Genomic DNA, 26,679 nt, shown 5'->3' with positions numbered 1-26,679 from the left:
ATGCTCTTTGACGTCACGGACTCGACCTTTGACGGAGCTAATAGGCGAAAAGGAGAGACGGGAAGTATTTTTTCCGCCCCGCCCAGAAAGGGTGGAGCACAACGTCAAAAGCAGCCAATGGGAGCCCAGGAGGCGGGGCGCCTGTGGGAGTCGTGGAGGGAACTTTCCCAGGCCCCGAGGCGGATCGGGTATTGAGTCCATGGAGCGAGCTGAGAGCTAGAGGTGAGCTGGGCTCGCGGTCTCCCTTCTCGCGCGTCCTCCTTGAGAACCACGGCGTTCCAACCTCCCTGGAAATGGGGGGAACATGGCCGAGGGGCGTGGCGAGGCGTGGAGGCCCCGGAGCGGCGTCCTCAGCGCCCCAGCCATCCAGTGCTCCTTGGTTGCGCCTTAAGGCCGAGGCAGGCTCCTTCGGGGTCTTTGGCTGCGGGCAAAGGATTCGGCCCTGTAAGGAGCTGGGTTCGGCCTGTCCCAGACAGGCCCTGCCCACATCCCATCACAGGGCCGTGAACTTGAAGCCCTAGCGTGAAATCCCCATAGACTGAATGCATTTCCTTTCTACCTGTTCTCTCTCCCCTTTTATTTTTATTTTTATATTATTTAATTTTTAATTTTTTATTTTTGTAGAGACGGGGATTTCGCTATGTTGCTGAGGCTGATCTCGAACTCCTGAGCTCAAGCAATCCGCCCGCCTTGGCCCCCCAAGGTGCTGGAATTACAGGCCTGATGCACGCTGCCTGGCCTTTTTAAAAAATTGAGGTTATTTTGGGGAAGGTAGAGCGTCCAGACACATCCTAATTTGCATAGCTGCGCAGTTTTACAAAATGCAATGCATTTCTACCTGTTAGGATATGTGATTTCTGGCTGGTAAGCTACACCGAATCTTGGCTAGCACAGTTGCATTCCATGTCAGATATGTAAACACAAATTCGCTCTCTGCATTTAAATATATTAGATAGATTTAAGTAACTACATTTAAATGTATTCACATTTAAATACATTTTCGGTCTGTATCTAAATGCGCTCCCTCCTGAAAATAAATATCTGAAGTGGGCCGGGCGCGGTGGCTCACACCTATAATCCCAGCACTCTGGGAGGCCAAGGCGGGTGGATCATGAGGTCAGGAGCTCATGCCTAGCCTGGCCAACATGGTGAAATCCAGTTTCTACTAAAAATACAAAAATTAACTGGGCATGGTTGGCGGGCGCCTGTAATCCCAGCTACTTGGGAGGCTGAGGCAGGAGAATCGCTGGAACCCAGGAGGCGGAGGTTGCAGTGAGCTGAGATCGAGCCACTGCAGTCCGGCCTGGGTGACACAGCAAGACTCCGCCTCAAAAAAAAAAAAAAAAATCAGAAGTGGACTGTAGCCTATAGTGTGTTGCCTAATAAATTTATTTTTAGAGATACTTCTTTCAATTTTCTGTGAGGTCATCTGCAGTTTCACATGGTAGACAGACTTAGGTGAGATTCTTAGCAAGGTGGAATGAAGAGTAAAGAGGTTTGTTTATTTCACAAGGGTTTATTGAAGGCCTACAATGTGGTAAATGCTGTAGGAAATACCCAATGATTTCTCTTTCATGGAGGTTTCCTGCCTTCTCTTAACAAGTTATCAATTAAACGGTTTACTGGAAATTGCTAAGTTAATGAACACACGGGATACATTCTTTGGATGAGCAGACATTGGTTGGGCAGAGGAGGAAGAGGAGAGTGGTTTAGAGAGAGACCTGCTTATACACTGTAGTGTTTAAAAGAGCTTGTGATGTTCAGGAAACAATTGTTCACTGCGCTACAATATAGGGGACGGCCGGTTGCAGTGGCTCACACCTGTAATCCTAGCGCTTTGGGAGGCCAAGGAGGGCAGATCACCTGAGGTCAGGAGTTCAAGACAAGCCTGCCCAACATGGTGAAACCCCATCTCTACTAAAAACACAAAAATTAGCCGGGTGTGATGGTGGGTGCCTGTAATCCCAGCTACTTGGGAGGCTCAGACAGGAGAATCGCTTGAACCTGGGAGGCGGAGGCTGCAGTGAGCTAAGATCATACCATTGCACTCTAGCCTGGGCGACAGGGTGAGCACTCTCAAATAATAATAATAATAAATAATAATAATGGTGATGATGTAGGGGACTTGATGAAGGGAAAGGATTAGAGAGATTCTGAAAAGAAGGTAGTTTTGGGCCCAGTGATGACTAGATCTTAAATTTCATGTAGTAGGAAGTGGGGCACTAGTAAATTTTTAAGAAGAAAAATTATTTGACCAGATCTGTGATTTCAAAAATATCTCTGGTGATAGAGTGGAGGATGGCTTGGAGCAGGGAATAAGGGCAGATAAAACTGTTATAAAACTCTTAAAGTTAGTACAGCAAGAACTTTGAGGGTCTTTGCTAAGACAGCAGCTGGCAGCTTCAGTTTGGAGTAGGGTATCAAAGGCAACTGTGTATAAGGAATAGTTATGTAACTGGTACCCAATTTCTGAGATGATTTTAACTTAAACATTGTGTATTTTCCAGCATACTGTTGGTTTTTCTAATTATGTGGGAAATTATGTTGCTTTCACTTTTTTTTTTTATTTTTGCTCCTTACCCAGGCTGGAGTGCAATGCTGCAATCTCAGCTCACTGCAACCTCTGCCTTCTGGGTTTAAGTGATTCTCCTGCCTCAGCCTCCCGAGTAGCTGGGTTTATAGGCGCCCACCGTGATGCCTGCCTAATTTTTTGTATTTTTAGTAGAGACAGGGTTTCACCATGTTGGCCGGGATGGTCTCCAACTCCTGACCTCAAGTGATCCGCCTGCCTCTGCCTCCCAAAGTGCTGGGATTACAGGCATGAGCCACCCCACCAGGCCATGCTTTCAGTTTTCAAGAAAGACACCATTGTTGCCAAAGATTTTGGTAATTTGAGAGATAGAATGTATGTTTTCTCCATGTGGATCCTAGTATAATTAGATAGTAAGGATCTGTTGAATTTGAAGTATCTATCCAGAAGTATCTTGGGTACATGTTTAAGGATTGTAAAACAGTGTTTCTATTTCTGGATATAATAAATGTATTTGTTAATATAATAAATGAATAGATTAGACCCATAAACTATTTACAGTGTTGAGTCATTTCCCACAGTTAAAATCAGGATGAAAATATATAGCTGAATACTTGCTTTGTTTCTTGTAACATTTCTTTAGTACAGAACCTGCTAAGGCCATCAAACCTATCGATCGGAAGTCAGTCCATCAGATTTGCTCTGGGCCGGTGGTACTGAGTCTAAGCACTGCGGTGAAGGAGTTAGTAGAAAACAGTCTGGATGCTGGTGCCACCAATATTGGTAAGTTTGGGAGAGTTTTAAGCCACAAGAAATGATCAGTGTGTGTTGTTGTAGTCAAGAAACATTTGTTATTGAAATAAGACTATCAAGTGTTGATGTAGTAATAAACTATTATTTTTAAGTTAAAGTTAGCACCTATTATGTGCCTAGTACTTAGCTAGGTAGTAATAATAATAACGACAGCTTTTCTTGTGTTCTTATGGTGTGCCAGGCAGGTGTTATGCTAAGAATTGCACAGAAATATCTCATTTAATTTGCAGAATAGCTGGGCGTGGTGTCTGACGCCTGTAATCCTAGCCCTTTGAGAGGCTGAGGTGGGGGGATTGCTTGAGGCCAGAGTTCAAGACCAACCTGGCCAATTGGTGAGACCTCGTCTCTATTAAAAAAATAAAGTAGGCTGGGTGTGGTGGCTCACACCTGTAATCCCAGCACTTTGGGAGACCAAGGCGGGTGGATACCTGAGGTCAGCAGTTTGAGACCAGCCTGTCCAAAATGGTGAAACTCTGTCTCTACTAAAAATATAAAAATTAGCCGGACCTGGTGGCAGAAGCCTGTAATCCCAGCTACTTGGGAGGCTGAGGCATGAGAATGGCTTGAACCCGGGAGGCAGAGGTTGCAGTGAGCCGAGATCGTGCCACTGCACACCAGCCTGGGACAGAGCAAGACTCCGTCTCAATAAAATAAAATAAAATAGGCGTGGAGTAGTGGCTCACATCTATAATCCCAGCACTTTGGGAGGCAGAGCAGGGCTGATCATTTGAGGTCAGGAGTTCAAGACCAGCCTAACCAACATGGTAAAACCCTGTCTCTACTAAAAATACAAAAATTAGCCAGATGTGATGGTGCATGGCTGTAATCTCAGCTCCTCGGGAGGCTGAGGGAGGAGAATTGCTTGAACCTCGGAGGTGGAGGTTGCAGTGAGCCAAGATCAGATCATGCCACTCCATTCCAGCCTGGGTGACAAGAGCAAAACTCCATCTCAAAAAAAAAACAAGAAAAAAAAAGAAAATAACAAAATAAAATAAACCTAAAAAATTATTAATCAGCTGAGTAACTTTATGAGATAGAACTTATTATCTTCATTTTACAGATGAGGAAATTAAGGAACAGGAAATTTCCTTTTTTTGAGATTATAAAGCTAATAAAATAGGATCCAGGAAGTCTGATTCCAGAACCAGTTGTCTTTTTTTTTTTTTTTTTTTGAGATGGAGTTTCACTCTTGTTGCCCAGGCTATAGTGCAATGGCATGATCTCGGCTCACCGCAACCTCCGCCTCCCGGGTTCAAGCAATTCTGCCTCAGCCTTACGAGCAGCTGGGATTACAGGCATGCACCACCACACCTGGCTAATTTTGTATTTTTAGTAGAGACAGGGTTTCTCCACGTTGGTCAGGCTAGTCTGGAACTCCTGACCTCAGGTGATCTGCTCACTTTGGCCTCCCAAAGTGCTGGGATTACAGGCATGAACAACCGTGCCTGCCCCCGCTTTCTCCTTACTGGGTATGTTAAAATTATTTCTTTCAAAAGAAAAGGCTGGTCAAAGTGCAACGGTGTTAACCACTAATTGATCACAACCAGTTACAGATTTTTTTGTTCCTTCTCCACTCCAACTGCTTCATTTGACTAGCCTATGGACAAAAAAAAAAAAAGAGGAAAGAAAAAGCTAAACTATTTAATCTGGGCTAGTAAATGGCCAGAAAGGGCTTTATAAAAATGAAATATACAAAATGATACTCGTACGTTTAACTAAAGGTATAGTTATGACTCTTCAATTTGCATATGTTATAAATAATATCAATATAAAAGCTTATAGCATGGGTCCATTTTTTTTTTTTTTTTTCTTTTTGAGACGGAGTCTCACTGTCTCCCAGGCTGGAGTGCAGTGGTGCGATCTCGGCTCACTGCAAGCTCCGCCCCCCGGGTTCATGCCATTCTAGCATGGGTCCATTTTTAATAAATACATAAATATTTAAACTTTCTAGATCTAAAGCTTAAGGACTATGGAGTGGATCTCATTGAAGTTTCAGACAATGGATGTGGGGTAGAAGAAGAAAACTTTGAAGGCTTAAGTAAGTTGACTTTTTCTAATCCTATTATAAAATAATTGGGCCACATGTCTCAGAATTTTGAGTAACACTGTCTTGGGAAACGCAAAAACAGTTTTTTAAGCCAGTTACTAGATATCATGTATATCCGTTGTTTTAGCACTTGAGGTATCTTAGTCCTTACTTTACAGTCTCTTTCAGCTCTGAAACATCACACATGTAAGATTCAAGAGTTTGCCAACCTAACTGAGGTTGAAACTTTCGGCTTTCAGGGGGAAGCTCTGAGCTCACTGTGTGCACTGAGGTGATACAATGTTTTTATCCATTCACTTGACCCCTTAGAAAAACCTCTCAGAAAGTTAATTGGAATCGTTATTATTTACAATTTTCTATCTCGGTATCTCAGCTTCTAGCTTCTGAATTCTGTTTTGTCTCACTGCCAATCTAAGTCCTAATACTTCTGAAATGTGGGAAATAAATGAATGAAATGAAGCAAATAGTATTGTTAAAAAAAATGGTTACCCTTATTAGAACAGTAACTTCTCAATTTTAACATAACATATAGGTAATAAATGATAGTTACCATTGCTTTTCATCATCAAATTTTAGGGAAACATTTCACCAAAGCACTATTTAATTATAGCACAGATACTAAATTTTTATAATTATATTTAAATATATATATACATATATATGTGTGTGTGTATATATGTGTGTATATATATATATATGTATTTTTTTTTTTTTTTTTTTAAGACAGAGTCTCACTCTGTCACCCAGGCTGGAGTGCAGTGGCACAGTCTCAGTTCGCTGCAATCTCTGCCTCCCAGGTTCAAGTGATTCTCGTGCCTCAGCCTCCTGAAGAGCTGGGACTATAGCGTGCACCACCACTCCTGGCTAATTTTTGTATTTTTAGTAGAGATGGGGTTTTGCCGTGTTGCCCAGGCTGGTCTGGAACTCCAGGCCTCAAGTGATCTGTGCTCCTCGGCCTCCCAAAGTGCTGGAATTACAGGCATGAGCCACCGCACCCTGCCCTACATATACATTTTAATTATAATATCTTTTGGATTCTTTAAAAATTTTAAAAAAATTTTTTAATTCTTTAAAACAATTTTATTTGAAGAGTAATAACAAAACAAATCTCTATTTGTGAATAAATAAACCTTGAGATCATTTATGGTTTTGCAATTCAACCTGAAAAATGAAATCAAAGCTTTTATCAAAACAAAGCATGTTTAGTGCTCTCTGTCTCGCTGTCCTTTAGATGCCAAACCTTAGATTTTATGATGACTCCTCAACCGTTTAGATCTTGGTTATCTCAGAGGGATCATCAGCTTTTTAAGAAAGTTTTGAGAGAAAAGCAAGTGAAGAAAAACATAGTCAATGCTCAACATCACGGGTCTCTCACTGAACACACCACACCTGGTATTCTCTCACAGCGATGTCACCATTTCTACCTGCCACGCATCGGCGAAGGTTGGGACTCGACTGGTGTTTGATCACGATGGGAAAATCATCCAGAAAACCCCCTACCCCCACCCCAGAGGGACCACAGTCAGCGTGAAGCAGTTATTTTCTACACTACCTGTGCACCATAAGGAATTTCAAAGGAATATTAAGAAGGTACAGTAAATTAATCCTGGTTTTCAAGAGTATTGGTTAATGCACATGAGCAAAAGATTTACTAAAGATGTTTATTCTTCAGTTGATTCTCTTACCATAATCTATTGAGACATGCTTTATTTGCATTTCTCGTTAAAGACTTAACATTAAAGACTTAACTTTAGGGTGATTTACTTTTTTCTTTTCATCACATAGTGTTTATTAGGACTGGGCAACATAGTGAGACTCTGTTTCTATGAAAAATTAAAAAAAAAATTGACTGGGCATGGTGGCATCCACCTGTAGTTCCAGCTACTTGGGAAGCTGAAGTGGGAGATTCACTTGAGCCCAGAAACTTGAGGCTGCAGTGAGCTATGATTGTGCCACTGTATTTCAGACTGGGAGACAGAGTAAGACCCTGTCTGGAAAAATATATAAACATATATATATTTTATTTTTATTTTTTATTTTTATCTTTTTTTGAGATGGAGTCTTACTTTGGCGCCCTGGCTGGAGTGCAGTGGCACGATCTCGATTCACTGCAACCTCCACCTCCCGAGTTTAAGCGATTCACCTGCCTCAGCCTTCTGAATAGCTGGGATTACAGGCGCGCACCACCACACCTGGCTCATTTTTGTATTTTTAGCAGAGACGGGGTTTCACCATGTTGTCCAGGCTGGCCAGGCTGGTCTCGAATTCCTGACCTCAGGTGATCCACCCACCTCGGCCTCTCAAAGTGCTGGGATTATAGGCGTGAGCCACCATGCCTGCCTTATGTACTTATATTTTAATGAGACTATTTCTCTTGGTTTTCTGATAAATGAGTTACTGGAACCCTTATGAATCTGAATGCAAAAGAAACAGCTAAATGTTATGTAATTGTTGTGTTTAAAAACCAGATTATAAAACTATCTGTATTATATGATTACAGTTTTATAAAAACAAAACAGCGGCCTAAATGTGTATAGTATAAAGGCTGGAAGAGTCAGCACTTTCATGTTCTCAGCGGTTATCCTTGGATGTGAGATCTCATGCACTTTTTGCTCTCTTCTTTGTGCCTTTCCATTTTGTATGTGTATTTTTTACAATCTAAAAAGTTACTTAAACATATGCAGCTAAAAACTTTTTTTACTCGTAAAGCATTTGGTGCTAATTTTAACTGTTCTTTTTTTAGACAGAGTCTTCTCACTCTGTCGCCCAGGCTGGAGTGCAGTGGTGTGATCTTGGCTCACTGCAACCTCTACCTCCTGGGTTCAAGTGATTCTCCTGCCTCAGTCTCCCAAGTAGCTGGGATTATAGGTATGTGTCACCATGACCAGCTAATTTTTGTATTTTTAGTAGAGATAGGGTTTCCCCATGTTGGCCAGGCTGGTCTTGCACCCCTGACCTCAAGTGATCTGCCTGCCTCAGCCTCCCAAAGTGCTGGGATTACAGGCATGAGCCACCACGCATGGCCTTTTTTTTAAAGCTTTTTTGTAAGTCAGCTAGCAAGAACACAGAAAGAAATACTCAAATCTCCCTTACCCAGCTGGGGGCTATGTCAGGTTTTATAAGCATAGGGTAATGAGTTGTGATTTGATTGGATCTTGCAATAAAGTAATGCTGGGAGGTGTGATCTGACTGGATCCTGCCATGGGGTGACACCAAAACTCAATCTGATTGGATCCTGGCTCCTGCCATGGAGTGTCCAGTTCTTAAATCAGTCTCAGCTCTTCAGGCCGAGCTTTTAGTTTCCACTCCATGGTTGCATGCTTGGTTAACCTGGGCATGCACAGGGTACATGCCCTTCAACCTGTGGGTCCATGGCAATTGAAAAACAACTGACAACCTCATTACATAAAAGTTGAACTGAGCCGGGTGCAGTGACTCACGCCTGTAATCCCAGCACTTTGGGAGGCCAAGGCAGGTGGAGGTCAGGACTTCAAGACCAGCCTGGCCAAAATGGTAAAACCCCGTCTCTACTAAAAATATAAATATTAGCCAGGTGTGGTGGTGCACCCTTATAATCCCAGCTATCTGGAGGCTGAGGCAGCAGAATCACTTGAACCTAGGAGGTGGAGGTTGCAGTGAGCTGAGTTCATACCACTGCACTCCAGCCTGGGTGACAAGAGTGAAGCTCCGTCAAAAAAAAAAAAAAAAAGTTGAACCAGATTTGGTCTGATGCAGTTACAGATCTACAAACCTCACCCCCACCCTCCTGCCAACACCTTCCACTCCTCATTCTTGAGGGATTAGGGATGGAGGTCATGCTTCTGCTTTGACTTCATGCTGAGCAGGGCACTGAGTCCCCTAAAGTGAAAGGAATGAAACTCTTGGGCTTCTGAGTTCAAATGAGTTCTGGGGTCACCTGGAGTAGCTTGAAAGGCTGGTATTGTTGTAATACAAGCTGAAGGTGGAAGTGTTGGAGCCTGGAGGACAAACAGCTCACCATCCATTTAATAAATAGGACCAAAAAGTAACAGAACAGTGGCCACGAGGGGCCCCAACAGAGGAAGAAACCAGGTGAGGTGCGGTATAGTGGACTCGACTGCCTTCTAAATCTCCGTTGTTGGCCGGGTGCAGTGGCTCACGCCTGTAATTCCAGCAAAAGAAAAGCCGAGGCAGGGTGATCACGAGGTCAGGAGTTCAAGACCAGCCTGGCAAACATGGTGAAGCCCTGTCTCTACTAAAAATACAAAAATTAGCTAGGCATGGTGGCATGTGCTGTAGTCCCAGCTACTCGGGAGGCTGAGGCAGGAGAATCACTTGAACCCGGGAGGCGGAGGTTGCAGTGAGCTGAGATTGTGCCACTGCACTCCAGCCTAGGTAACAGAGCAGGACTCCATCTCAGTCAATCAATCAATCAATCAATCTCAGCGGTTGAACTACCCTTGACATGGTTCAGCTCTGTATCCACACCCAAATCTCATGTCAAATTGTAATTCCCAGTGTTGTGGGAGGGACCTGGTGGGAGGTGATTGGCTCATGGGGGCCGACTTCCCCCTTGCTGTTCTCGTGATATTGAGTGAGCGCTTGTGGGATCTGGTTGTTTAAAAGCGTGCAGCCCTCCCACTTCACTCTCTCTGTCTCTCCTGCTCCAACATGGCCAGACGTGCCTGTTTCCCCTTCGCCTTCTGCCGTGATTGTCAGTTTCCTGAGGCCTCCCCAGCCATGCTTCCTGTACAGCCTGCAGAACTGTGAGTCAATTAAACCTCTTTTCTTCATAAATTACCCAGTTTCTCATAGTTCTTTATAGCAGTGTGAAAACAAGACTAATGGCCCTTCTGGTTGAAGGAATGCAGCCATTCTGCTTGTTTGACTATGTCCTTTCTATTCATCTCTATTTCCTGGGAGGTGTTTATCCAAGTGCAATAGGAGGTATTGGTGACCGCACAGTCCCCTCAGTGTTCTGCTAGTAAATAGTTGAAGGTTGATCAGTGATCTCCTGCGTTTTCAGTCTGGCATGGAAAAGCCCCCATGCAACTGGTAAAGATATCAGTAAGCACCAGGAGGTATCTAAATCCACCAGGAGCCATAGGCATCACGTTGATGTCCATTTACCAGTCTTCCCTGGCAAGATTCTTCTGAATTGTGCTGCCTTGACCAAAAGAGGTATGGGAGGGGCTGGGCGCAGTGGCTTGTGCCTGTAATCCCAACATTTTGGGAAACCAATTCAGGTGGATCATTAGAGGTCAGGGGTTCAAGACCATCCTGGCCAACATGGTGACATCCCATCTCTACTAAAAATACAATAAGTTAGCTGGGTTTGGTGTTGGGTGCCTGTAATCCCAGCTACTCGAGAGGCTGAGGCAGGATAATCACTTGAACCTGGGAGGAGGAGGTGGCAGTGAGCTGAGATTGTGCCATTGCACTCCAGCGTGGGCAACAAGAGTGAAACGTCGTCTCAAAAAATAAAAAAAAAGTCCAGGCGTGATGGCTCACACCTGTAATCCCAGCACTTTGGGAGGCCAAGACGGGTGGATCACGAGGTCAGGAGTTCAAGACCAGCCTGGCCTAGATGGTGAAACCCTGTCTCTACTAAAAATGCAAATATTAGCTGGACATGGTGGCATGCACCTGTAATCTCAGCTACTCAGAAGTCTGATGCAGGAGAATTGCCAAAACCCAGGAGGGAGAGGTTACATTGAGCCGAGATTGCACCACTGCACTCTAGCCTGGGCGCCAGAGCAAGACTCCATCTCGAAAGAAAGAAAGAGAAAGGAAATTCCCCAGGGAAGTACCTCAGCTTATTTCATAAACAGGTACTGAAGGAAGCAGAGGCTTGTGGAGGACTTCCCCACCTCATGCAGCTATTTGGGCCATGGCGTCTGAAATTTATTATTTCAGAGTCACCCCTTTGATGACCTTGGCAGTGGACTGCAGTCATCTGTTTAGGCCTCCCCATGGCCCGTGTCAATGCCGGTATTTCTGTTTGTTGCACATTTGATTTCCTTGTTGTTGGCATTTAGAAGGCCCCCCGTTTCCCAGATCACACCATGGGCATGGACTGCAGAGATTGCGTCTTGTGAGTCTGTAGAAACAGTCAAGGCCTTGTCCTCTCTTAGGTCCAGAGCTCAGGTTAATGCAGATTTTCCCGGCCATCTGTGCTGAAGTCCCTGTGGGGAGGCTCCTGGCTGGTTTCCTGTAGGTAGACAGCTACACGTCCTGCCCTTCATTGGCTTCTTTTCATGAAGCTCCTGCCATCTACAAAACATGTCCCTTCTTGAATCACATCTCTGTTATTGAAACTCTAGAAGTCGACCGGGCATGGTGGCTATGCCTATAATCCCAGCATTTTAGGATGCCAAGGCGGGTGGATCACCTGAGGTCAGGAGTTCAAGACCAGCCTGGCCAACATGGCGAAATCCCGTCTCTAATACAAATACAAAAATTAGCCAAGCATGGTGGCCACTGTACTCCAGCCTGGGCGACAGAGCAAGACTCCGTCTCAAAAAAAAAAAAAAAAAAGAGAAAGAAAGTATCATGCTTTTCTGCATTCTGTGAATTGTTTTAGTGAGTTATCGAACTTGAGGGCATGGTGGGAACCTCCAAATTTGCAGCCAGTTGGTGAGAAGTACATGTGGTCTGAGGACACCCAAGCCTGCAGGTGTGTCTAAAGCGAGGGCAGCCTAGTGGGGGCTGGTGGCCTTAACCTGTGGCATTTGAGGTAACATCAGGGAGTTGACATCAGAATTGCATCACATAGGCTGGGCGCGGTGGCTCACGCCTGTAATCCTAGCACTTTGGGAGGCCAAGGCGGGCAGATCACGAGGTCAGGAGATCGAGACCATCCTGGCTAACACAGTGAAACCCCGTCTCTACTAAAAATACAAAAAATTAGCCAGGCATGGTGGCGGGTGCCTGTAGTCCCAGCTACTTGGGAGGCTGAGGCAGGAGAATGGCGTGAACCCAGGAGGCGGAGCTTGCATTGAGCCAAGATCACGCCACCGCACTCCAGCCTGGGTGACAGAGCGAGACTCCATCCCCCCCCCCCAAAAAAAAAAGACAAAAAACAGAATTGTGTCACATAGGCCAGATGCAGTGGCTCATGCTTATAATCCCAGCAATTTGAAAGGCAAGGTAAGAGGATCGCTTGAGCTTGAGTTTGAGGCCGCAGTGAGCTATGACCACACCACTGCACCCCAGTCTGGGTGACAGTGCAAGACCCCAACTCCAAAAAGAAAAAAGAAAAATCACAAAGAATTGCATGGCAGAGTGCCTGTCTTTCACAGCTTTAACTGCTGCAGGAACTTCCTTTTTTTTTTTTTTTGAGAGGGGGTGAGGAGACACAATCTCTGCTAGTGATTCTCTTGCCTCAGCCTCCCAAATAGCTGGGATTATAGGCGTGCACCACCACGCCTGCCTAATTTTTGTATTTTTAGTAGAGACAGGGTTTCACCATGTTGGCTAGGCTGGTCTCAAACTCCTGCTGGGATCATGGGCGTGAGCCACCACGCCCGGCCACCTTTAGAGTTTTCTTACCACCTGGTTTTCCTCTCTCAATATCTTTCTCTCATTTCCTGCCTTAAAACTCTAGCTTGGCATCTGGGCGCAGTAGCTCATGCCTGTAATCCCAGCACTTTGGGAGGCCGAGGTGGGTGGATCACTTGAAGTCAGGAGTTCGAGACCAGCCTGGCCAACATGGTGAAACCTTGTCTCTACTATTTTTACAAAAGTTAGTCGGACGTACAGACGGGTGCCTGTAGTCCCAGCTACTTGGGAGGCTGAGGCAGGAGAATTTGTTTGAACCCGGAGGTGAAAGTTGCAGGGAGCCGAGGTTGTGCCACTGCACTCCAGCCTGGGAGACAGAGCAAGACTCTGTCTCCAAAACAAACAAACAAACAAAAAAACCCTGTAGCTTGGGATCAGCCTTCTCTTCTATTGTTTTTCTTTAAAAAATAAAAATTAAAAATAGATGTAGATGCTATGTTGCTGAGGCTGGCCTCAAACTCCTGGCCTCAGGTGATCCTCCCGCCATGACCTCCAAAACTGCAGGGATTGTAGGTGTGAGCACTGCACCCAGCCTTATGTTTTTTTCTACATAAAAAACAGCACAGGATTATCTTCCAGAGCTAATAAATATGTTCAAATAACCACAACCCCATTAAGGAAAAATATCACTGGGCAGCAAATAATCAGTCCAGACCAATATGATCACAATTGCTGTGAAGGTGAGAAAAGTTCATTTTTATTATGTTTCCCCAAGAGACGCACTCTATTGTTCTCTTGAAAACACACAGCTCATGTCCTCCTTTAGAACACACATCCTCTTTAAAGTAATATACAAACATGCCAAAACAAGGTAAAAAATTACATCTGAATTCTCACATTTCAAATATATATGAAATATCAAATAAAAATTTATTTTTACAAGAATTTAGGGGAACTACTACATAGCTATAAATGTAATATATATGTTAACTAAGTATCATAGATAAAAACATGCTCCCTTCAGCAGCACGTGTAATAATAGATACAAAGATTGAAAGGTAAAAGATTTAGGATGAAAAGAATCCTCTCTTAAAAAGGAAAACAAAATTATATGTATGTGTATATAACAGTTATAATACCCATCACACAGCTTTATAGAAACAGCATCTATTCAAAAATACCAGTATTTCCAAAATATTTAAAATAATATTTAAAGTAATAATAATATTTAAATAAATAAATATATTTAATAAATATTTAAATAAATAAAATAATATTTAAATAATTCTATACCCATGTTTTTCAAAATAAACCAATAAAATAGATAGTATATATTAGACGTGTTAGTATATATATCTGAGACATGTTAAAAATCACAACTGAATTCTCACAATTCAGTCACAAACCTAAACAGCAAATAAAAATTTCTATCACCAGAATTATGTTTTTTTCTGGTGGGGAACTACCAATAGCTATAAATAGAAGAGATTATTATGGAAGTATCATAGATAAAAAGAGTGCTCGCTTCAGGAGCACATATAATAATACAGAAAAAAATTTAAAGATAATAAAATATTTAGGATAAAAAGAATTGTCTCTTAAAAATGAAAAGAAAATTATCTTTATGTATATATAACAACTATAACTCTCATCAAAAAACTACAGGAACAGCATGTTTTCAAAAGTACAACAATTTCCAAACTATTTGAAATAAATCTATGAATAATTCAATGGCCAACATTTTCCAAACAAACCAATAAAATGCAGAGTGTGCATGAAGCTATCTGTTACAATCTGTGGCACTGATATTTCACAAAAGAATTCTGTGCCAATCTGAGCCCCTGCATTGTGCCTTCAAATGCTCCTGGACTGTGGCAACCAAGTCCGTAAGAAACAGCACCTCCAGGTTCCGCCCCAGGGAGGTTGGAATTCAGCAATATAAAAAGGGTGGTGGTGCCGCAGGAAAGGGTGGAACTGGAAACACTCCTGGTTTCTTACTTTTCTCCAAGGACTCCTAGAAGGACCCCACCCCCCTCCCCCAACCCCTGCTCCCAGGAGGACACGTGATCACTGTATTCAGCTCCATCAAGAATGGTCCAGGTTCTTCTAGATGATCTGCACAAATGGTTCCTCTTCTCCTTCCTGGTGTCTGCCATTAGCATTGGAATAAAGTTCCTGCTGAAAATCCACATCTCCCCTGGGTCCGGTGTTCTGGAAGTGAGAGAGACAATGTCACACTTCAAGGAGGCAGCTCTCTAGACAGGAAGGTTATTCACGTCCCATGTCAAGTCTAGAGTTCAGAGCAATTGAGAAATACAATTTTATCTGCTGCCTTTCATTCTATACCCTGCTTCTGAACCATCGTGTTCAACTGTGAAACTCACATTTTGGTGACCACGACTCCAAAACTCACTTAATACACCCAAGGTCAGCCCCAGTGATCTGCTTCATAGCAAGGACTTTGGGTGGGTCTGCCCAGGGAGTAGGGCACCCTCAGAGAATGTGGCTTTGGACTTCATCACAGCTGGGGCCTTTTGTGTCACTTAAGATCTAAACTTGTAACCATGCTAGATGTGTTTCTAATGTGACAACATCACGAACCACGAGTCCAGAAGCCTAATCCTTAATCCTACCTCCTCATGATGAAGTCTCATGCTCTGTGCTCAACGTGGTTAGCTGCACAAGATGTAAACCAAAGCTTCACTGAACCCTCGACCCAAATCAGTAACTCAAGTGCGTCAATCATAATGAACCTCCCCAAACTCAGTATTTATGATTATTTTTGAGGCAGGGTCTCACTCTGTCGCCCAGACTGGAGTGCAGTGGCAGGATCAGGGCTCCGTGCAGCCCCAACCTTCCAGGCTCCAGCAATCCTCCCGCCTCAGCCTCCTGAGTAGTTGGGAGTAGAGATGCGTCCCACATCGCCTGGCTAATTTTTGTATTTTTGTGGAGAGGGGATCTCACCACGTTGCCCAGGCTTGAAGCCGGATCAAGCAATTGGGTTCTTCGGATTTCCGAAATAGACCCCAATATTCTGCCTTTACCCCGGAGGATGCAGATGTACCTTCTCTCAGGCCGATGACCTCAGGCCTCCACGGTCCCTGGAGCTCTAGGAAAGGTGAGCGCGATCTCGTGCCCACACCCAGTGCTCTGGGTCATAAGCCTGGATCTGGAAAAACAAACGCCCTTTGAGAAGACGGGGACTCGCCAGGATACCCCTCTCTCCCCTCATCCAGCCTCCAGCCCACCCGATTCCTCCCCACCTCCTCCACCTCCCCAGGCCCCACTCACCTCCTCCAACTCCTCCGGGGAAACCCAAGCCCTGCCGCTCATGGAACAGAAGAACTGGAACCGAAGTTTCTGGAACAGGACTATCTGAGAGCGGTTCTTCCTGGCCCTCGGGTTCATGCAACGGCGTAACTGGAACCGACGCTTACGGACCAAGGGTATGCGAGAGCGGTACTTCCTGGCCCTCGGGTTCATGGAACGGCCTAACTGGAACCGACGCTTACGGAGCAAGGGTATGCGAGAGCGGTTCTTCCTGGCCCTCGGGTTCATGGAACGGCCTAACTGGAACCAACGCTTACGGAGCAAGGGTATGCGAGAGCGGGTCTTCCCATACAGGAAGTGGAAGATGTTTTGTTTGGAGTCCTCGTCGTCCTCCTCCATGTCATTGGCCAGGTAGCTGAGGATAGAAATCAGGTTGCTGCTCAGGGGCACCACCAGGAGAGGCCTCCGGCTGAGGTCAGCTTCCCAGAGAGGAAGGTAAGGGACCGTCCCTAGCTCAGGACTGGCACCCACCCTGCAGAGAGCCACGCCTTCCTCAGGAGGGCTCTGCTGGACAGAGACCTGATCAAGGGCGTCTCCCACTCCTTCAGGATGGAGACAAAAACCCAACTGGTGGCCGAGAGTGGTGGCTTACGCCTGGAATCCCAGCACATTGGGAGGCCAAAGCAGGAGGATCACTTGAGGCCAGGAGTTTGAGACGGGCCTGGGCAACATAGCAAGACCCTCGTCTCTATTAAAAATATAAGAAATATGCCAGACGCAGTGGCTCATGCCTGTAATCCCAGCACTTTAGAAGGCTGAAGCAGGTGGATCGCTTGAGACCAGGAGTTGGAGACCAGCCTGGTCAACACGGAGAAACCCCATCTCTACTAAAAATACAAAAATCAGCCTGGTGCCGTGGCACACCCGTTAGGCCTAGCTACTCAGGAGGCTGAAGCATAAGAATTGTGTGAACCCAGGAGGCAGAGGCTGCAGTGAGTTGAGATTGGGCCACTCCATTCCAGCCTGAGAGGCAGAGCAAGACTCTGTCTCAATAAACAAACAAACAAACAAACAAACTGTCCAGGTGTGGTGGCACAGCCCTGTAGTCGGAGCTAATAAAGAAGCTGAGGTGGGAGGATCGCTTGAGCCCAGGATATGGAGGCTGTGGTGAGCTATGATCTCACCACTGCACTCTAGCTTGGGGGACAGGGCAAGTCTGTCTCAAAAAAATAAAAGCAATTGAATACATTGATATTTTGCCAGGACCCTGCCTTCTACAGGCATCTAGTCTAATGGGACTGGGAGTAATCAAGGCAGATGACCTAATCCCAGTGTCCAGGATGTAACTAGAGAGCTACGGGCATGCAGAAGTTGGAAGATGAGGGAAGGCATCACAGAGGCTGTGGGTGAACTGACTTCAAGGAATGGGTCCTTCCCTTCAGAGCCACATGTGTGCGGGACACCCAGACAGAAAACACAAACACAAAGTCGAGTGGAGGGCATTTGGAAGGAGCAGTGAAGCCGAGCCAGGAAATACCAAGATGGTGAGCCAGTGTGCTTGTAGAGATTGTAGAGAGGGTAGAATTGACACTGTGGACCCTGGCCTCGATAGAGAAAGGCATCAGCTAAGGAAGTTGTTCAGGTGGGCAGTGAGGTTGTTGTGCTTTGGAAAGATGTTCAGGCTGCACTAGGAAGCCCCCTGGCTTGGGGAGAGACTCCAGGAGACCCCAGCAGGGAGCATTTGACAGTGGATTCGAGTGATGCGAGGGGGACCTGAACTGTGGCCTCTGTCATGGGAACCCAGAGGAGGTCGATGGCGTTTGTGGTTGATGTGGGAAGGAGAGAGAGAGAAGAACCAGAAACGTCTGCTTGCTGGAGGAAGCGGCATGTCCGCTCCTCCACTCCTTTTCTTTTCCCCTTAGGAGCGGTTTATGGTTCCTTTTGTTTTATTCTTTTATTTGTACACTGGCATTGGAGTTTGTTTTTTTGGCTTTTTTTTTTTTTTTTTTTGAGAAAAAGTCTCACTCTGTCACCCAGGCTGGAGTGCAGTGGCTCGACCTTAGCTTACTGCAACCTCCACCTCCTGGGTTCAAAGGGTTCTCTTGCCTCAGCCTCCCAAGTAGCTGGGATTACAGATGCACACCACCACGCCCAGCTAATTTTTCTAGTTTTAGTAGAGACGGGGTTTGGCCATGTTGGCCAGGCTGGTCTCGAACTGCTGACCTCAGGTAATCTGCCTGCCTCGGCCTCCCAAAGTGCTGGGATTACAGGCGTATGCCACTGTGCCCAGCCTGAGTTTCTGTTTAGAAACAACAGTCTATGATAGTATAATCCTCTCTTTTTTGTACACAGAGTAAAGAGGACAAATAGGTGAAAGAATAAATGAAAGGCTGGAATCCCACTTCCCCCGCTGTCCCAGGGCATTGGATATTGACGGATAGGAGGCAGCAAACCACTCACAGAGCCAGGAAGAAATGAATGCGTTGGTATTGCCAGGAGGGGAGGCCGGCCCGGCTGAAATACACTATGACCATAGCCAGGAGATACTGATGGAGAGAAAGGAACACAGAGAGGGAGAGGTCACATCTTGGAAGAGGAAGATTGTGGAGAGGGGGAATGAGGGTCTGGGGAGGGGCTGCCCATCAGAGAAGGGACCTCAGTGTTGGGGTGACTGTACTCATTTGGAAATTGCGGGATGGAGGGGTATTCGAAGGTCGGATGCAAATCCGAGAAGCCAGAGGAAGGGTTTTGGGTGATGCTCCCAGGATGGTGGGCTCCGATGGGATCTTTGGAGGGGGTGTGTCTGGGTCGGCTGGTGTCAGGAGGGTCTTTTGTGTGCCAGGCAGAGAACTGTCCTGAAGAGCTGAGAGTAGAGGGGCCAGGAGATTCAGGGCTGCGGCCAGACTGTGGCCCAGAGCTCAGATCCCAAAGGACCCATAGGAGAGGCAGGGGCCACTCATTCACTCTGCAAGAGACCAGCAGAATCCTGAGGGAGATGCTGACAAATCATAAAAAGACCAAGAATAGCCGGGAGTGGCTGCTCAAGCCTGTGATCCCAGTACTTTTTGAGAGGTGGAGTCAGGAGGATCACGTGAGCCCAACAGTTTGAGAACAACCTGGGCAACATAGTGAGACCCTGTTTCTACAAACATTTCAAAAATTAGTTGAGCATGGTGGCATGTGCCTAGTCCCAGCTCCTCAGGGGGCTGAGGAAAGAAGATTGCTTGAGCCCAGGAATTAGAGGCTGCAATGAGCTATGATCATGCCACTGCACTCCATCCTGGGGAGCAGAGCTAGACTGTGTCTCACAAAAAAAAAATTTGTGGGTGCCAAGACTCAAGACCATGGGAGCTGGTCGGGCACAGTGGCTGACATCTATAATCTCAGCACTTTGGGAGGCCAAGGCGGGTGGATCGCCTGAGGTCAGGTGTTCAGGACCAACCTGGCCAACATGGCAAAACCCCATTTCTACTAAAAACACAAAAATTAGCCAGGCGTGGTGGTTCATGTCTGTAATCCCAGCTGCTTGGAGGCTGAGGCAGGAGAATCGCTTGAACCCGGGAGGCATCGGCTGCAGTGAGTCAAGATCGAGACACTGCCCTCCAGCCTGGGCAACAGAGCAAGACTCTGTCTCACAAAAAAAAAAAAAAAGACTGTAGGAGCATCTGGTGGGAGGTGGTGGAGGGAGAACTGTGGGTTTGGAAGCTGCGCCCTCCCCCCAGCCATGTGTTGGAACAGGAACAGTTACATGGAGAACAACCTTACCTTGTCCGACACCCTCAGATCTTTGTCCCAGGCCAGGAATCTTTTAATGACAGGATCCTCTGTGATTAGAGAGCAGATGTCAGTGTGAGAAGCAGGACAGGGTTTCCGTGGGAGCAGCAGGGCAGCGAGAAGTGTGCCTCCCGGGGGGAAGTCTCAGGATTGTGGCCGCGGGTGAGGTGGATGGGAGAGGGGAGAATGACTTTCACTGGGCAAGGGAGAGAGGCTCCTGCTCTGAGACTCCCCTGAGAAGAGGCCGAAGGAGGCCCTGGGTGTGAGAATCTACAGGATGTAGAGCTGGGAATCAGCCAGGACCCCCTCCAGCAGACACGGAGGGACCACTGCAGAGTCATAAAGGAATTCCCATCATTTCCTCATGAGACAGTCACATCAGGGTGTGACCATGGCCTTGGGATCCCCCACTATGGATGGAGACACTTAGGTTTAGAAAAGTCAGTAAGAGACATTAAGTTTCAGAGGGCACAGCTGAAACCACTTTCTTTGTTTATTGATTTTGTTTTTCTTTATTTGATTTTTATTTTTATTTACTTATTAATTTATTTTGAGACAGAGTCTTGCTCTGTGGGCCAGGCTGGAATGCAGTTGCCTGATCTTGGCTCACTGCAACCTCTGCCTCCCGGGTTTAAGCGATTCTCCTGTCTCAGCCTCCCGAGTAGCTGGGATTACATGCATGAGCTACTGTGCCCAGCCTTGGTTTTTCTTTTGAGACAGGGTTTTGCTCTGTCACCCAGGCTGGAGTGCAGTGGTGTAGTCACAGCTCACTGCAGCCTCAAAGTTCTGAGTTCAAGCAATCCTCTTGCCTCAGCCTCCCAACGTGCTGGGATCTCAGGCGGGAGCCACTGCGCCTGGCCCGAAACCAAGCTTTCTTATCCCAAGCACTGACCTTTATCAAGTTGACCTAATCCTTTATCATCTCCTAAGTGTCCCTCATGAGTGATCACTTCACATTCCTCCCACATGGAGAGCTCACCCACTGGGGCATATTTTTCCCATTGGAAAAGTGTGGTTATTGGAAGTTTCCTGTTTTTGGAAAGAACAGGATTGGAGGTGCTCTCTGGGGTGTCCTCCTACCAAGCAGCCTGTTGAAGGCCTCGTGGTGCTCAGGGAGCACGAGCAACACTCGCCGTCGCTTCAGCTTCATCTTGAGGCCACACAGCATCTCCGCCACCCAGATCTCCTCAGGCTCAGGGGCGAGCACCTTCCGTGGCTCCTCCTCCAACGACTCCTCAGATTCGTCCCACCACTCCCTCTTCCTTTTCCAGCAAAAGGACCTATGCGGGGGGCTGGGATCTACCCCAGGGGCTGAGTAAAGAAACCAGGCCACGGTGTAATGCTTCTGCAGTTGATCACACTAGAGCCCGACCCAAAACCCCAAACCACTCTCCATCCTCCCCAGCCTCGCAGACTGCTGGCTTCTCCAAGCCATCTTTCCTTCTGTCTGTCTCCTCTGCTGAGCTCCATGTGCCGCTCCTTCTCCTCCCCATTCTCCCGTTTCTCTGTCCTCAGAACACTTCCTCATATCCTTCCCTGGTCCCTGGCTCTCTGAGTCCCTTTTTTTTTTTTTTTTTTTTTTTTTGTTGTTGTTGTTGTTGTTGCGAAACAGTCTTGCTTTGTGGCCTAGGCTGGAGTGTAGTGGTGCGATCTTGGCTCACTGCAACCTCCGCCTCCTGGGTTCCAGTGATTCTCCTGCCTAAGCCTCCCAAGTAGCTGGGATTACAGGTGCCCACCAGAACGCCCAGCTCATTTTTGTGCTTCTAGAAGAGACAGGGTTTCACCATGTTGGCCAGGCTGGTCTCCAACTCCTGGCCTCAAGTGATCTGCCTGCCTGGCCTCCCAAAGTGCTGGGATTACAGGTGTGAGCCACTGCACCCTGCCTCAGTACCTCCATTCTTCCCACACACCCTCCTCACGTGCTCCTTCCTGACTTCTGGGCCCTTCCTTCCTTCTTTTTTTTTTTTTTTTTTTTTTTTTTTTTTTTTTTTTTGAGACAGCTTCTCACTCTCTCACCCAGAATGGAATGCAGTGGCGCTATCTTGGCTCAAAGCAACCTCTTCCACCTGGGTTCAAGCGATTATCCTGTCTCAGCCTCCCGAGTAGCTGGGATAACAGGCATGCCTGGCTAATTTTTGTATTGTTAGTATAAATGAGGTTTCGCTATATTGGTCTGGTTGGTCTCGAACAACTGACCTCAAGTGATCCACCCATCTCAGCCTCCCAAAGTAACGGGATTACAGGCATGAGCTACCACACCCAGCCTTCGTTTTTCTTTTGACACAGGGTTTTGCTCTGTCACCCAGGCTGGAGTGCAGTGGTGCAGTCATAGCTCACTGCAGCCTCAAAGTCCTGAGTTCAAGCAATCCTCTTGCCTCAGCCTCCCAACATGCTAGGATCTCAGGCGTGAGCCACTGCACCTGGTGCGAAACCAAGCTTTCTCATCCCAAGCGCCAACCTTTATCAAGTCTAGCCTAGTCCTCTATCGTCTCCTAAGTGTCCCTCATGAGTGATCACTTCTGAGTCCTCCTGCGTGGAGAGCTCACCCACTGGGGGCGTATCTTTCCCATTGGAAAAGTGTGGTTATTGGAAGTTTCCTCTTTTTAGAAAGAACAGGATTGGAGGTGCTCTCTGGGGTGTCCTCCTACCAAGCTGACTGTTGAAGTCCTTGTGGTGCTCAGGGAGGATGGGTGACACTCGCTGTTGCTTCAGCTTCATCTTAAGCCCACACAGCGTCTCCACTACCCAGGTCTCCTCAGGCTCAGGGGCGAGCTCCTTCTCCGGCTCCTCCTCAGATTCATCTGACCACTCCTTCTTCCTTTTCCAGCCAAGGGACCTACATGGGGGGCTGGGATCTACCCCAGGGGCTGAGTAAAGAAACCAGGCCACTGTGTAATGCTTCTGCATCTGATCACCTTAGACCCCGACCCAAAACCCCAAACCACTCTCCATCCTCCCCAGCCTCGCAGACTGCTGGCTTCTCTAAGCCATCTGTCTGATTTTCTCCTCTGCTCAACCCCATGTGCCGCTCCTTCCCCTCCCCATTCTTCTCTCTCTCTGTCCTCCGAACACTGCTTCATGTCCTTCCCTGGTCCCTGGCTCTCTGAGTCCCTCCTTTTTTGTTTTGTTTTGACACAGAATCTTGCTTTGTCACCCAGGCTGGAGTGTAGTGGTGCAATCTCAGCTCACTGCAACATCCATCTCCTGGATTCCATTTATTCTTCTGCCTCAGCCTCTCAGGTAGCTGGGATTACAGGTGCCTGCCATAATGCCCAGCTCAATTTTGTACTTTTAGTAGAGACAGGGTTTCACCATGTTGGCCAGGCTGGTCTCAAACTCCTGGCCTCAAGTGATCCGCCTGCCTTGGCCTCCCAAAGTTCTGGGATTACAGGTGTGAGCCACTGCACCCAGCCTGAATTTCTCCATTCTTCCCACACACCCTCCTCAGGTTCTCCTTCCTGACCGCTGACCCTTCTTTTCTTTTTTCTTTTTTTTTTTTTTGGGAGTGCAGTAGCGTGATCTCAGCTCACTGCAACCTCTTCCTCCCAGTCTCAAGTGATTCTCCTGTCTCAGCCTCCTGAGTAGCTGGGATTACAGGTGTGCACCACTACCACTTGGCTAATTTTTATACTTTTAGTAGAGATGGGGTTTCACCATATTGGCCAGGCTGGCCTTGAACTCCTGACCTCAGGTGATCCGCCCGCCTCGGCCTCCCAAAGTGCTGGGGTTACAGGCGTGAGCCACCGCACCCGGCCCCCTTCCTTCGTCTTAGTCAATCCTATCCCACCTCTTCTTCCACCAGTCCCCTCACCTGATGGTCCCAACACTTCATCATCCACCACCTCCTGGAGGGGGTACCCCGAGGTGCTCCGCTGGGGACTCTGCTCATTCTGGGGGTGCAGTTGACGGCTGGTCGTGATCTTTCCCGTAATCTGTCCCCTCTTACGGAACCTAGTCTCCGTTCTGTCCATGGCCTTCTTCTGGACACTGCTAGGATCCAGAAGAGTATGTTATCAATTCTCAAGCCTAGGAGAAGTCAGGAGTGGAGAACAGCTCTGAGAAGATACTGTTGTCCAACTGATCTCCAGGCACCACGGAGTCCGGTCCCTCCAATCAGGAAGGTCGGAATCTCTGATGTCATCGTTCATGCCAACCTGGCAACCAGTTTGAAAAAAAAACACATGTAACTGCCAGGCTGATCTCTTGTCCTGGAGATCCTGGGTGAATGGTATCTCCTGCCACTGTCCCAACCTCAGACCATTGTCCAAAAGCATCTTCAGGGACTCCACATCCCTCTGTTCCCTGTCCCAGCAGAGGCTGTGTCCTCTCCACTCAAAGCCTGAAGCATGTTGGGGTCTCTTCGTCTCTGTACATGCCCATTTCAGAGTCCAGGCTGGTGGGAGAGGGAACAGAGTGGGAAAGAAAACTAGGGTAAGCAGAAACGATGAAACCTTATAAGAGTGAGATTATCATGTACAAGAGTGAGATTATCATGTGCAAGAGTGAGATTATCATGTACAAGAGTGAGATTATCATGTGCAAGAGTGAGATTATCATGTACAAGAGATCCCAGGAATACTGACTTGATGAAAAAGTCACATCAGAGCACTCAGTTTGGCAGAGCTTTTCTGCCGAATGTTTACTCACATTCACTGTCCCAGATTCTATACTGGGGGTACACACGTCCTCTGCCCTAAGGCAATTTTGAGTCCAAGAGACATTTTGAGGCCTAAAAATCATAGGAAACTGCCCCTGAGCTCACACATATTTCCAATGGTGTCCCCAATTTCAGGGAATCCATGGATTACCTAAGCCAGCCCCTCCAGTTCGGCTAAGAAACTCTAGTCTATATATCAAGTTTTGTATCATATGTATTGCTCTGAACTCAGAAATTTCCCTTCCATTTATGGATTCTATGAATAAAATATCACATGTACAAAAAGACTAAGTCAAAAAATTTCAGCTGTGCACAGTGGCTCATGCTTGTAATCCCAGCACTTTGGGTGGCCAAGGGAGGAAGATTGCCTGAGGCCAGCAGTTCAAGACCAGTATAGGCAACATGGCAAGAGCCCATCTCTAAAAAAACAAAACCAAACCAAATTAGCCAGGTGTGGTGGCTGGCACCTGTGTTCCAACTACTTGGGAGACTCATGTGACAGGAAGATCACTTGAGCCCAGGAGTTAGAAGCTGCAGTGAGCTATGATCTTGCCACTGCACTCCAGTCTGGGCAACACAGCAAGATATTGTGTCAAAAAAAATTTTTTTGATAAAAAATGAAAGAGTTACATGACATTCAGAGACCATCCAAAAAACCTGTGGGTTCCCGGCTGGGCTCAGTGGCTCATGCCTGTAATCCCAGCACTTTGGGAGGCCAAAGTGGGTGGATCACTTGAGGTCAGGAGTTTGAGACCAGCCTGGACAACATGGTGAAACCCCATCTCTACTAAAAATACAAAAAATTAGCCAGGCATGGTGGATGCCTGTAATCGCAGCTACTCAGGAGAGGGCGCTGGAGAATCACTTGAACTCATGGTGCGCAGGTTGCAGGGAGCCAAGATCGCACCATTGTGCTCCAGCCTGGGCAACAAGAGCAAAACTCCATCTCAAAAAAAATAAAGAACCTGCGAGTGAGTTCCCACACGTTTTCCTAATGGGCTGCTGCTTTCCTAGGAGTCTCTCGCTCATAGAAAAGGCACACACTGAAAGAGGAAGCCGATCCCATTGCTGTGGAAGTCCCATTGTTAGGAAGCTCTGCTTTTCTGGAGTTCAAATTCGCATTCATGACGCTTTAAACCGTCAGAGCTGGGTGGGTCCTCCTACAACAAAATCGTTTGCTCTCTCTTTCCTAGTTAACAGGCTTTCAAATATTAGAAGATCAATGTTCTGACCCCATTGAAATTTCTCTTTTGTGGAATGAAAAGCTCTGATTTAACCCATCTTCAAGCCTGGTTTGCATATTCCTCTCTCTTCCGGCCATCTTGTCTAGACACACTACACTGAGGCCGTGCCCATCGTAAATGATGTTGATACGTTGTCAAAAAATTGGCAAACCAGGCGCGGTGGCTCATGCCTGTAATCCTACCACTTTAAGAAGCAGAGGCAGACAGATCACCAGAGGTCAGAAGTTCGAGACCAGCCTGTCCAACATGTTTAAATCCGTCTCTACTAAAAATACAGAAAAAATGAGCTGGGCATGGGGGTGCACATCTGTAATCCCAGCTACTTGGGAGGCTGAGGCAGGAGAATCGCTTGAACCTGGAAGGCAGAGGTTGCAGTGAGCCGAGATTGCATCACTGCACTCCAGCCTGGGTGACAGAGCGAGACACCATCGCAAAAAAAAAAAAAAAAAAAAAAATGGCTAAACAGCCCAGGTTTGGTCTGATATGTTCAGAAAAAAGCAAAACAGTCACCTCTCACCTTTTCTTTTCCCGCAGTGATGCAGTTGAATACAACAATGGCTGTAGGTATGCTGCAGAAATATCATTCAAGTGAAACAGAAGGGCTTTCCTGGCCAGACACAGTGGTCAGTCCTGCAATCCCAACACTTTGGTTGGCTAAGGTGGGAGGATTTCTTGCGGCCAGGGGTTCAAGGCTGCAGTGAGCTGTGATCCACCACTGCATTCCAGGCTGGGCATCAGAGTGAGGCCTCTCTCTAAAAAAAAAAACCCTTCACTCCCCAAAAAAAGGGATTTGCAAATACCAGCCTTTCAGCATGAGGATCACATGGAGGAACATTAAGATACAGATGCTGGGACCCAGCCCTAT

General features: G+C 46.7%; 1 protein-coding gene and 1 pseudogene across 5 annotated transcripts; one reads left to right on the top strand and one right to left on the bottom strand.

Annotated features, from left to right (window-relative positions):
• Positions 156 to 26,467, top strand: PMS2P4 (PMS1 homolog 2, mismatch repair system component pseudogene 4; annotated as a pseudogene). 3 transcript variants are annotated; one of them, NR_046299.1, is made up of 6 exons: positions 156 to 222; positions 3,174 to 3,313; positions 5,295 to 5,381; positions 6,797 to 6,980; positions 10,049 to 10,135; positions 26,349 to 26,467. The product of NR_046299.1 is annotated as a PMS1 homolog 2, mismatch repair system component pseudogene 4, transcript variant 3 (transcript). The 3 variants fall into 3 exon arrangements; NR_046297.1 differs by lacking the exon at positions 26,349 to 26,467 and adding an exon at positions 14,879 to 15,058; NR_022007.2 differs by lacking the exon at positions 26,349 to 26,467 and having other exon boundaries at positions 10,049 to 10,162.
• SPDYE21 (speedy/RINGO cell cycle regulator family member E21) lies at positions 13,593 to 25,657 on the bottom strand. 2 transcript variants are annotated; one of them, NM_001382715.2, is made up of 9 exons: positions 25,536 to 25,657; positions 23,725 to 24,306; positions 22,562 to 22,780; positions 20,994 to 21,224; positions 19,905 to 19,963; positions 18,600 to 18,685; positions 16,161 to 16,554; positions 15,934 to 16,038; positions 13,593 to 15,080 (listed from the first exon to the last, which is right to left on the bottom strand). In NM_001382715.2, exons 2-8 carry the CDS (start codon positions 23,882 to 23,884, stop codon positions 15,979 to 15,981), a joined length of 1,209 nt encoding a protein of 402 aa, NP_001369644.1. In that variant the 5' UTR covers positions 23,885 to 24,306; positions 25,536 to 25,657; the 3' UTR covers positions 13,593 to 15,080; positions 15,934 to 15,978. The 2 variants fall into 2 exon arrangements, with proteins under 2 accessions (NP_001369644.1, XP_047276362.1); XM_047420406.1 differs by lacking the exons at positions 13,593 to 15,080; positions 15,934 to 16,038; positions 18,600 to 18,685; positions 25,536 to 25,657 and having other exon boundaries at positions 16,488 to 16,554.
• Positions 26,468 to 26,679: the final 212 nt, after the last annotated feature.

Source organism: Homo sapiens, chromosome 7 (genome assembly GCF_000001405.40).
Source record: "Homo sapiens chromosome 7, GRCh38.p14 Primary Assembly".
Taxonomy (NCBI): domain Eukaryota; kingdom Metazoa; phylum Chordata; class Mammalia; order Primates; family Hominidae; genus Homo; species Homo sapiens.
Note: the sequence above shows the minus strand (reverse complement) of the source record. Positions and strands in the feature narration are given on the sequence as shown.